The sequence below is a fragment of the Homo sapiens genome, chromosome 4 (genome assembly GCF_000001405.40).
Source record: "Homo sapiens chromosome 4, GRCh38.p14 Primary Assembly".
In the NCBI taxonomy this organism is placed as follows: domain Eukaryota; kingdom Metazoa; phylum Chordata; class Mammalia; order Primates; family Hominidae; genus Homo; species Homo sapiens.
In genome coordinates this window covers 137750932-137764223 of record NC_000004.12, presented here as the reverse complement: position 1 = coordinate 137764223, position 13292 = coordinate 137750932, and the positions used below count along the sequence as shown (strand labels likewise).

Here is a 13292-nt window from a genome sequence, read left to right as displayed (position 1 = left end):
GTTTACCATTAATGCAGCAGGCATTGGAAGATGCTCTGTGTGATTAACTGAGTGAGTGATGAGTGAATGTGAAGGCCTAGGACATTACTGCACACCACTGTAGACTTTATAAATGTTGTACACTTAGGTTACACTAAATTTATAAAAAACATTTTTCTTTCTTCAATAATAAATTAACCTTAGCTTACTGAAACTTTTTACTTTATACACTTTCAAAGGTTTTTTTTTAACTTTTTGACTATTTTGTAATAACTGTTAGCTTTATATGGAAACACATTTTAGAGCAGCATAAAATATTCTCTTTCTTTATATTCTTTTCCTATAAACACTTTTCTATCTTTAAATTTTTAATTTTTTTATGTGACTGGCAGTTCAGTAGACTTGTTTCTACCAGCATTACCACAAACACATGAATAAGGCATTGCACTACATCATTTGGCTGTAGGAATTTTTTAGGTCCATTATAATTTTATGGGACCACTATAGTATATGGAGTTCATTGCTAACCAAAATGTTATTAGGTAGTGCGTGACTGTATTTGTCTTTTTCTCTTTTTGCATTGAATACATTACTTTACTAATTAAAAAAATATTACTTAAAATGCTTAGCATTTGACCCAGCAATCCCATTACTAGGCATATGCCCAAAGGAATAGACATCATTATATTATAAAAATACATGCACATGTGTGTTCATTGCAGTACTATTCATAATAGCAAAGACATGGAATCAACCCAAATGCCCATCAATTATAGACTGGATAAAGAAAATATACTACATATATACCATGGAATACTATGCAGCCATAAAAAGGAATGAGGTCATGTCCTTTGCAGGGACAGGGATGGAGCTGGAAGCCATTATCCTCAGCAAACTAATACAGGGACAGAAAACCAAGTGCTACATATCCTCACTTATAAGTGGGAGCTGAATAATGAGAACACATGGACATAGGAAGGGGAACAACACACACTGGGGCCTGTCAGAGGGGGAAGGAAGAAAGAGCATCAGGATAAATAGCTAATGAATGTGGGGCTTAATACCTAAGTGATGCAGCAAACCACCATGGTACACATTTACCTATGTAACAAACCTGCATGTGCTGCACATGTATCCCATAATTTAAAACCAAAAAATAAAAAATAAAATCTTATACTCGTATTTCTTGCAAATTTATTTCTGACCTTTTCCCTTTTTCCTTTTGTATCTGGCTTCTTTATATTCCCATTTCCCAGTTACCACAACTTTTCTAAGTAGATGTGTCATCCACCTGCATTCTCTGCAGTCTGCAGCCACATTGCCCTCTCATGGCTTATGTTTTTAAAGAGAATGTCTGTGCTCATAACATTGAATATGCTGATGAGTCCTGGTACTCAGCAGGTTGACAATCCCCAGCCAACATCTATTGGCAGGCACCGTCCTCTCCATCCTCTCAAATGGCTCTGCTCACCTCCCCATACCGACTGAAACTGTCATTTTCCCGAAACCCCATTGTAGCAAATTAGCTGTTGCTGGCAAAAGTTCACAGGCTGTTTCCAGGCATTAATTTATGATTTGTGCATCTATTTTCTCCATTCAGACTAATGTAGACAGAAGCTCTACTGAGTTTGAACACTTTCTTATCTAGACAACACATCTATGTTGGTTTTTTAGCAATTTCTATATCTTAAAGATATAATCACAATAAGCAGTAAGCATATCTTGGTTTCTTCCCAAGAGTATTCATTTTATTTATTGCATTGATTGAGTTTTATGAACAGAAAGGAAGTACTTTATAGCTAGGTTTACCTCCACTGTAATACTAAACAGTAGAGGATAGCGTTGATAAGACAAAGGGTGGAGATGAGATCAAGATGCCAACATCTCTTCTATATCACTTATTATTCTGTTAATCATTTAGTGGCCTGAAAAAGAAAATTAACTAATGGAGTGGAGAAAACTGAATCTAATGGTGGTAACTCTCACTAACTTTTTTTTAACTCCTTAGGAAATGACTTTAAATGTTACTGCTTGCTTGTTATAACTTTTTTTAGGCAAGAAGGAAAAAAGGAGAAAAAGGGAGAAAAATGCGGGGGGGTGGATACTATGAATTAAAGAATGAAAGATTGATCAGATTATTTGAAGGGAAACCTTATTATATTCCACATGCTGAAGCATAAGTTTAAGACAATCTTTATGTATCATACTATACAGAAATGAAATAACCATGCAAGCTTTCCCCCCTTACATTCACAGTTCCTCCCAGAATCCCTGCAGGCATACAACAGATGTTCAGTAAACACTCGGTTGATGAGAACTCTGGGAAGACATAGCTGTTCGACGAACAGGCATCAGAATTTATCATTTGAAATTATCAACTCAAAAATTCTTTTTTTCCTCATACATATTCTGCTTATGTATCAAAAATTATCATAAGAAACCAAGATTTCTCAGAACATGTGAGGTCAAAATGGCTTATAATGTTAAAAGAAGTGGAGTCTCAATCTATACTCAGTATCTCCCTCTCTTTTATTCATACACATATGGACACTTGCACTTCTAAGAAAAAATGAATTTTTTAAACTCATTCATTTATTAAATTGATATGTATTAAACCAGGTAATATTCATAACATATTCTGGATATAAACATGAACAGGTGAGACAGGCCCCTGCCCTCACAGAACTTATGTTCTGGTGAGGAGCTTTAACATGACCTTGGTGTTGGGATAGGAAGGAAAGCTGTCACACTGAAAGTGATGCTATAGATTCAAAGCCACCAAATGATTGAATACTGCTTCATCTTTGATCAGTAGGGATTGATGCTAGTTAATAAGTTAGCCATTACACTTTGTGTGCTAGAATTAGATTATCTAAATTACTTAATGTATGCCATTTAAACAAACTAAATGTGAGAATGCGATTACCATAAATAATGTGGTCTATTCATTTTTTGCAAAGTAAGAACATATAGTCTCCATTAATAAAATACTTTAGTAAAGATAAAAATGTTGTATATTCACATTGGTGAATGCTATGAAAAAATGAAATGATTAATTTAAATGCAAGATCATTCTGTAATCTTATTTACTGTGCCTCATATGTATTCAAACAAATGTTTTAAATAAACATCCTGTCCAGCATGTGGTTACTTTGTAAGAGTCATAATTTTCCTAAAGTTCTTCAGCAAGTTTCTTCTAATACAGAAGTGTGCCTTATGGCTTTGCATAATAATCACAGCAAGCAAAAATATTATTCCTTAGGCGTATGTTATGTGATGAGAAACAGCCTCCTATATTCCCAAGTTAGGAGAAAAATACTCACCTTTTTGCAGGTGTAAGTTAGCACTGCCAATTTTAAATGAAGCCCGTTTGAAGGCTGGGTTATACATAAACCATTAGTATAATAGCACAATTAACACTACTCCCAGGATAGATGAATAAATTGCTGATGCAAGACTTTGTAAATGCTGTCACTAAGTACAAAGTAATATGATACATATTATATAAATCTATCTATATGATTATGTGAATAAGTGTACACACACACACACACAAACCCAACATATGCCATTAGGTAGAGTTTTGCTAATTCTCATATACTGATAAATGGACAAGTAGAAAAAAAATTCTCTATGCTTTATTTATTTAAATTATTAAAGTAGCCTATCTTTCGAAAGGGAGGTTATACTTTGGCTTAATATATCTTCCCCAATCATAACTTAGGGGTTTTGTTTTATTTTTTCTCAATGATTTGTGAAAATAATAAAGGCCAGTTGACACTGTGAAGTATGGCACCAGTGACTCTTATAGGGTGATGGTCTTGTTTATGGGGGGAGCAGAAACCACATCTATCAGAAGATGTATGGATGAGACAACAGATTGTAATTCGCAATCCTTCCTTTGGAATTCTGCCTCTATTTACAAAGGAGGCATCTAGAAGCAGAAAATACATGCCTATTTTCTCTAGCGTAAAATCTCAAGGGAATCTTCTGTTTAATAGACCATTTCCTATAGTAGGAAGAACAAAGCCAGCATTTTTACTTCTTTTAATAGGCCTTTGTATATGATATAGATGAGTGGTAAATTAGAAAATGAGGGACTGAACAGTCTACTGGACATCAACCTGGAGCTGTGAAGTGGCTTTATCTACATAAAAGAAGAAAAACAACACTTTGAAAGACTAGTAAAAACAACTAAAGGCTTTCTCTATGTAGAGATTATTAGTAGAGAGAAAAGAATCAATAATATTACTAGAACTGAGCTCACTGAATGTTAAAGGAAACAAATATTGCAGATGCTTTCTGAATGCACAATATCAAGGCAAGTTTAACCTGAGTGAAATAATGGACTCCCTCGTGACTAGAGTTGAGGCCCGAGAGCCATTATAATGCACACATGAAAATAAATGTGAATTTATTCTTACCACAAGGTAGTAAAATTATACATTCTCTTTACATATCTGTATGAATTATATGAGGAACAAAAATCATATTGTAAACTGAAAGAATTATTTTTGGAAATTATGTGCTCTTGTTTACAAACTGTTTGTATTTATGACTTTTTTTTTCCGTGGAGACTTTGTTTTGTGTTCTGAGTATACTTTTATTGCTTTTGTTTTATTTTCTTGGTATATTTTCATTGTTGGTGACAAGAGTGTTGCACATCTTCAGAATCTTTTGGAAGGGATGAAGTTTTTGTTGGATATATGTCCCTAGCTGTTTCCCATGCATAAGGAAAATTGTTTGATTATGCTGATAAAATGAAACAGAACTAAATCCCTGACCCTGTTGGTAAGAGAAGAGAGATGAGAATACTAATGAAAAGAGTCAGAGAATGGAAATGTACTCAAGAGGAGGCCCTGGGCTCAGCTCTTAAGAGGACTAAGGAGAAAGCTGACAATGAACAAGGGCTCACTTTTGTCACCATCTGTTATTGGTCATTCTATCTCTTTCAACCTGACATGCTTTTCTCTCCTTGTCTGTGTCATCAGAGAGATTCTACTTGACTCTACCAGCCTTTCTTCCATTTAGTATGGCCACCTTCTTTTTTCTTTAGGGACAATCCCAGTCTATGTGGCTTACATGGGGCTGAACTCACCACTCAGTTCCAGAGATCAAACAGATCTACCTTTGATTGAGTACAGTCATAAGGATTAGTTTAGGAATAGGTCAATCCATCGGCCAAAAAATAAAAGTTGGTTCTAAACTTTTGTTGGAACCATCTGGTGCAAGCCTCTTCCTGCTGATGTACTTAATCTGGTAGCACATAAGCCTGGACCTTTGAGAACCATAGAGGAGAGTCCTTCAGAACAAAGCCCATGAAGAATCACAGCCAGGTTATAATATATGTAAGAAAGACAAATTCCTGGTGATACTCTTTGAACACCATGATCCGGCTGCTCTTGAGGTTACTCTTGGAATATTTCAGTATTGTAAGCCATTCATTTCTCTGTTTTAAGATAAGCTGAGTTGTATTTACTTGTAACCCAAGAATAATGTTAATATGCCATAGAACTGATGCAAGTAATACAAGGTTAAAATGATAGAAATGTATCCCTACATAAGCCAAAAAGCAAAGTAAAACAAAGAAAAACTATTGAAGGCACAGGAAGGTGAGAAAAATTATGGAGAGAAGTCAACCTTTGGATAAAGGGAAGACATGGGGCAATTGCTCAATTTTGCAGTTGCTAGCTTGAGGGTTTTTAGACTCTGCCATATGTGCTGACTAAATCTCTAATAAAAGCCTACAATCTTTCTCATTTTGGACAACCATAACTGCTGGAAAGTAAGGGAAAACTCCCAGAAAAATAGGAGTTACACATAGGGAGTCCTAAGTTCTATGGAAAAAGTATGCAAAATCCCTGGCGGGCTCCTAAACCATGCATTTTGTGTGAAAAACTTTAAACATCCCAGCCAAGAATAAAGCACTGAACTGAGATTTGAACTGCCATCAAAAGATAGTTTGTAATTTAATACCAACCTAGTTAATTGATGACTGAAACAACAAAAATCAATCCTGTTCAGGGAAATAGAATCTATAATATTCACAAAGTAATATTCACAATATCTAGAAGACAAAACAGAATTATTTAAAAATTTTTGAAAAGCAGAAAAACAGGATTCATTCTTTAAAAAAGATATTTAGTGGTAATCAATGTCAACATACAACACTTTTTAATTAGCACAGAAAGAGTTTAAAATATCTTGTGATTTGAAAAAAATGCTTGTATAAATGAAAGAATAAGAATGCTCAGCAGAGAAATATAAATTAAAAAAAGAGCCCAAAGAAATTGTAATGAGGAAATAAGAGTATGATTCCATTACAGAAAAAGGATATAAGCAAACTGGGTAGAAAACCAAGTATCTTTTATATAGACTAGGAAGCATCTCTTCTTCTGGCAACATTTCCTTATGATCAGTGTATTCAGGAGATTAGTTCCTATTTGTTATATTCTTAATGCATAGTGAATTCAGCATAATAAAAATATTAGTCTATAAATGCACTTCTAAATTCTTTATTATTAAGGAGAAACTTTACAAATAAAATTAAAATTCACATACTTCAGAACCTGTCATTTTAACTTTTTGCTTTTTTTTTTTTAACATTTTAAGCTAACTTAAATTTATTTTGGTACAAAGTAGTAGAATATACAATAGTAATTATTTTCAGGTGAAGTCAGAGAAACTAATTTAAAATTGTCCAAAAGTACAGAGGGACATAAATGGTGATGTGATTTCTCTGTCATATAGTACAGACAGCAATTTTACAACATTGCAGAAAAAAATAAATTTTAGTACTTTCATGAGAAAGGCAAAGTACCCTGGTTATAAAACATGTATGCATTAGAATCATGCAGACAGCTGTATTATTTATTAGATGAGTGCATTTGGGCCGTTCCTTAGCTTTTTTGAACTCATATAGCTCATCTGAAAATGGAGGTAATGATACGTATCTCCAGTAGTGCTAATAATGCAGCTAATCAAAACAAACAAACAGTCCCCTATTTTTCAGTATTTTTCCAATTTCTATAGTGTAACTGCTTGGACCATGACCCATTTCAAGCTAAAAACATGGAATCTCTGAAAAAGGAGATGGGAAGAGACGTATCCAATCAGTTCTCTTAAGTGGAGGCAAGCTGGTTTCGGGGCACACCACATCCCCCAAAAGAGTGTCATGAGAATTAAATGATGTAATACAGTTGAAGTGCTTAGCACAGTGACTGACATAAAATAAGTCTTCAACAAAAGGGGACTTAATGATGATTAACTGATGAAGAGTTTGCACAACACTGCACAGAGTACCATGAGATGTAGAGGACAGAATTTATCTCTCTTTCAAATAACTTATGGATGTATTAAACACATTCAAGAGGAGCATTAGAAGATGTATCCTCATTATGATCATAATTATGACCCACTTTACTTCCAGTTATTGTATTAAATATCGTTACCCTTTTGAAAGAGCTGGATGAGAATCACACTGTGAAGAATGAAGTAAAACTCTTGCCAATAATAGCATTTAGTCCAAGTTCCCAATTCTCTAGGCACAAGAGATTAATTTTCCATTGTTCCTTAGTTCTTACCAGACTTTCTTTGACAATTTGGTCATAAATCAAACTTTTTTCCCATTGAAGTAGCTGATTTGTCTGCTACATTTACCTTATAGAGTTGTTTATCCTAATTGTTACCTTGCTATTCTGACCCATGGCTATAGATTAGGCTGAACAATTTGTTAGTTTTCCCAGGTCTTTTCCAGTTTTAGCACTGAAAGTCACATGTCGTGGGAGCCCTCTCAGTCCTAGGTGAATTGGGACAGTTGGTCACCCTAGTATAGATAGATCTTCAATTCTTCATTGCATAGGTGGTTAATAAATGAAAATAGTGTCCTCAAAAACAGAATAATTAGGATTATTCTTATGTAGTGTGCTTATTGAGTAAGTAAAATCATCAAAATTAAAAATAAGCTACACTTCCAAATGATCTATGTCATAATTGAACCGAAGCACAATCTTCTGCGGGGACTTGATGAAAATTCCCAGTTGCTAAGGGAAAGAGTGGGAAACAGGATTTTGTAATGTTGCCAGTCAAAATGGTCCTCCCATCCTGGAATTAAATATATAACATTCCATAAGAACCGGTGTTATCTTTACTTTATTATTCCTTCATTATATTGAATATTTAGTGTTCTTGCTAATGAGGGTTTTGGCAATTACCCTTACCAGTTTCTTTTCTCCTACTTTAATGTTAATTATTTTCTCAAGGTACTTATGGCCACATTAACTGATACTGAACCCCAGTGTATATTATCATCTCTCATGATACAATGTAGACAATAGTTTAAGGCTGCCTTATTGGCAAATGATAAAAAAAATACTATTCTTTAAATTAGAAATCAATTCAAAAATAAAATAAGGCAAGAATATTTTCTTCATCACAGTATACCTAGCAAGCCACTTCCCCGGTCAATGCCATCGATAAATTGTTTTATCTTTTGTGAGAGAAATTAAATCAGTCTTTGCATTACTGAGGTATATTGCAATAGTAATTCCAGTTTCAACATGGGGATTTTAAAACGTATCCACTTTTTGTCTAGGGTTCATAATTATTAGAAAGACACAATGACATTTGTTTTGCTCATAATATAAATCAGGCTTTCCGACATTTCTTTTCATCTTTATATATCTGCATTTCTTTTCATCTTCTGACTAAGAACAACTGATAAATATTATGGTTCCCTTTCCTTCTACAACACATTCTTGGCTAATTCCCCAGGGATTCCCTCAAGGTGTCTCCACTTTGGAATGATTTACAATATTCCTCTTCCTTCTTTGCCAATGACTTCAATATGCTGCCACACCTCCATCTGGTATGGGAAGTAGAGAGTGTTCTGTTCAAGAATGCTGAGCAAAGGAACAGTCAAAATACTCACTCCTCCCACTGAAGGAAAAAAAAAGGTAAAATTTATTAGTCTACTGAAAAAAAGACAAGCTGCTAGAGATTTTCAAAATTCCAGCCATACTGTTGAAATGGCATTTCTTTGATTATGTATGAATCATCACTTTTGTAGAGGAAAAAAGGAGACATACATTGAGTATCACACTTTCTCTGAGATGATCTAATAGCTCAGTAATTCCTACAGCCTGTCAGTTCCTTCATTAGAAGTCTTCAATGACACACAATGGATCATTTATCTCAGACTTCAGATTGGGTGATTGTCAACAGGACCCTCGAGGTTTTCTGAGGTACCCCTGTGTAAATGAGAAACATTGAGGTAGCAATGAAATCATCTTAATCATTAAAAGGGAAGCAAAGATTGAAAATTGACCCTTAGGAATGGCTAATTCAATAAATCTCTTGACTCTATAAATCTGTGCTCATAGGCTGGCTGGCTGAACTCTAAAGAGAATGGTAGTAAACTTTTATTTCCTCATGACAAGGCATTACTTAAAAAGCATTGAAGCATGCAGCAGAAATTTTAGAATATTTTTGTGTCCAAGGGAAACCATCTGTCTATTATAAAACCAAATAGTTAAAATATTTGATTTATACATACATGTGTACATGCACACACACATTATATTAATATATAGATGATAGTAGCCAAGGGTGATTGTGTGATTCAGTATTTTTATGTTTTAAAAATTCAGTTGCATTATCTGCTCAATGACAGAGCCAAAAATTATTAAAATAAAAATAAGAGAATTAGCTCACAGAATGGGTCCAGAACTCCAAATATAAGTATGAGGTAAAAAGTATAATTCTACCATTATAAAAGTATATAAAATTTACATTATAGCTATAAAAGTACAGTAAGTTCTCACTTAACATCATTGATAGGTTCTTAAGTACTGCAATCTGAAGTGAAACAATGTGTGATGAAACCAATTTTACTGTAGGCTAATTGATATAAACAAAGTTAAGTTCCTATGGCATATATCCGGTCACAAAAACATCATCAAACTTTCAAATGAAGACCAAAACACTTTTAATATTAAACACTGAAATAAATGTGAGCTATACATACACTTAAGAAAGGTTAATAGAAACAAACAAGATAATTATTTACCCAGTTATCCCAGTCGTGAGTCTCTGGTGGCATCTTTGTTATGTGGGAGGAAACCAGAGTAAAAACAAAATGAGATTATGCTCTAAATACTGGTTTTGAAAAATCATAACTAAACACTATTACACATACACTTATATAACCATCTGTAAAATTAAAAAGATACTGTGTACTGATGCACAACATATGATGTTTTCTACATCATGCTTGGCTGTCTTTCTGATTTTCTAACAGGATATGTTGTATTCCATGTTATGGCTAAAATACAAATGTTTAATTTAATTGCTATCAGTGGCAATTTAAATCATGTATATTTTTATGTAAGAATTGCCCTATATTTAAAGGAAAGCCTATTTCAAATTTTGATACTGCCAAATCATTAGGTTGGTCCAAAAATAATTGCAGTTTTCTTTTTTTTTTTTTTTGAGATGATGTTTCACTGTGTAGCCCAGGCTGGAATGCAGTGGCGGGATCTCAGCTCACTGAAACCTCCGCTGCCCAGGTTCAAGCAATCCTGCCTCAGTCTCCCGAGTAGCTGGGATTACAGGTGCCACCACCACGACCAGCTAATTTTTGTATTTTTAGTAGAGACGGGGTTTCACCATGTTGATCAGGCTGGTCTCGAACTCCTGACCTCAGGTGATCTGCCCGCCTTGGCCTCCCAAAGCGCTGGGATTACAGGTGTGAGCCACTGCGCCCAGCCCAATAATTGCTATTTTTTTCCACTAAAAGTAGACAAAACCACAATTACTTTTGCACCAACCCAATACTCTCCAAAGAGGTTGCATGACTTCAGAAATGTATAATATGGCTGACTTCTACATGTCCTTCCAATCACTGTGTATGATGGATTCTTTTTCACTTTTGCTAATCTGATACATGATAAATATCTCAAATATAATTATGTATACTTCTCATATTATTATAAATGCTGGAGATCTTTATGTGTTTACTTAATATTATGATTTTTCTGTGAGTTATCTAAATTTACCCTTTCAAAATTGTTTTAAACTATTTATTTAAAAATGAAACCCTGACTACCTGATTTTCGACATAAAATTTGACTGGGTATATATAGTGCTGCTGTTCCTTTACTACTGAAAATGGAGGATAAAAAATTGATATTAGTTAGTTCAACTAGCATTCATTTGTTAAAAAACAAACAAACATTTATTGAGCATAAAGTCTTTCCTTAGGAAGGTATTGAGTCCCAAATATACAAATTCAAAGCACTCTACACTGGAACTAGCTAAGCCACTCTTGAAGAATTGAATCTTCAAATTAATTAAAGAAAAGTAACTGTTTAATTCTGTGAATTGCATCCTAGAATCTGAAGAGAAGCACAGTTTTCAACGTCTATTGGTGTTCTGTGGAGATCATTTGCAATGGGCAGATGCTGGGGCTGCCCTCTGCCTTCATTGAAATGTTACTGCTTTCCAGCTTTCTCCTGTATGTGTCACACACTGCCTCTTCTTTTGTCCTCCAACCTTCCCCTTATCATGAGATTGCTGGGCCCTTTGGAAAACTCTAACTATATATTAATACATTCTTCACTACCCTACTATCCATTTATACTTCTCCAATGCCCTTTGTATTCTAATAGCTCACATTCTAAGGATTACCTTCTGCTGAGGTCTATGATGGTTCTCTCATTCAAGTTTCTACCAAGAAGTATCTTTAAATCTTCCAGACGTGTTGATTATCTTCCCTATTTATCTTTATCAACCGAGTCACACTGACTATTATACTATCCAAAAATTTAGGCAATTCATATTTTCATTAACAAAAAAACCCCAGTTAATATACATTTTATTCCCTTATAACCAAGTATATCTTCATATACTGCATTATTTTTCTATAGAAAGTGAATTATAACATTTCTAAGGTCTCCCAAGTAGGTCTAATTGTGCTCTATATTCCCCTTTCTTAAAGCCACAAAACATTCAGAAAAGTTGTACAACTTCTCTATAGTAACTTTTAACAATATAACATTGATTGAAAAAAAAGAAACTGTGGAAGATTGGATACACACTGGAATTTTGAAATTTGAATATTTTTGTCTGTACAATAGAATTTGAGAGGGAAAATACAGAAATTTTTATATTTCTGCTATTGCTATAAGATTATGTTTAGAAGTTTAAAAAATTTTTCAATATATGAATAATATCCAGGTAACATTAATTTTTAAAAGTTGTAAAGCAAAAAGATAATCTAAAATAGCTTACCACTTAATCTACACTATCCGTGTCTAAGTAGAGTATTGTTCCTGATGAGAAAATAGGCTAATAAAATCACCTGGTGTAACTCTTTCATTGTTACACAGATGAAACAAAGAAAGCCATGTTACCAAAACACCAAGGGCTCAGTCTAGGTCCTGCTGCTCGCCACCCAGAAAGCCAATAACTGACACCATGAATGTTGCCCGAGAAGAGGCTTTAGTTGGGCAGATGAGGAGATGAGAGATCAGTCTCAAACCCATCTCTTCAGCCAACTAAAATTAGGAGTTTATATAGCAAGGAAGAAATGTAGCAATGTATGGCAAGACAGGAATTGGAGAGAGATAAAGAAGATGGGTGTAGCAGGTGGTCGGTTAGGCAATCGTGAAGGGTGAGGGCTCGGTCTAATGTCTCATTGTCTAGACACAGTGATCTGGTAAATTCAGTTCCTAGATACTATCTGGAAAGCCTGTTGGTTGGTTTCCTGAGAAAAGAACTCAGACAAGACAAAAGTAACTTTCTCAAGTTTTAAGACTGGGACAGTCAATTTCTATGCTTATTAAAAAGAAACCATAAATGTCAATAGGACAACTGGGCCAGTTTCAGCCGGAGTAGCTGGGGTAGGTTTGGTAAACAAGTGGAAGGTGAAAGGCTATGATGGGGGTACATGTTAGTTTAAGTCCTTTAAGAAGCAGACACTAAGGTGGGGTTAGAGGTTGAATAAAAGAAAGGATTTATTGGAGAAAACACCCGTGAAGAAAAAAATGGGAGAGAGCCAGAGGAGGAGCTGGAAGAGACAGTGAGAGCTATCAGATGGCGGTAACGGTCCAACAGCTGTGAAGAAGAGTATGAAGGAGGGAAAGTTAGATAAGTGGATTCTCTTACTGAAGAAGAATTCTAAACAGTTTTGGTCAAGTTGATGACAAGTTCTAGGGACAAAGTTGCTTATCAGAGGTGTTCTAGAACTCCTAAAAACGGACCTGCCTTAGAATCCTTGCCACTTCCAGCCCTTTGCCTAAGATTAGCCTATGGGA

General features: G+C 34.7%; 1 long non-coding RNA gene across 2 annotated transcripts; it reads right to left on the bottom strand.

The window, feature by feature from the left end:
- Positions 1-6579: 6579 nt before the first annotated feature.
- LOC105377445 (uncharacterized) lies at positions 6580-12823 on the bottom strand. 2 transcript variants are annotated; one of them, XR_939237.1, is made up of 4 exons: positions 12268-12823; positions 10046-10078; positions 9066-9227; positions 6580-8916 (listed from the first exon to the last, which is right to left on the bottom strand). It is a non-coding gene; the product is annotated as an uncharacterized LOC105377445 (long non-coding RNA). The 2 variants fall into 2 exon arrangements; XR_007058270.1 differs by lacking the exon at positions 6580-8916 and having other exon boundaries at positions 8924-9227.
- Between the last annotated feature and the right edge of the window lie 469 nt (positions 12824-13292).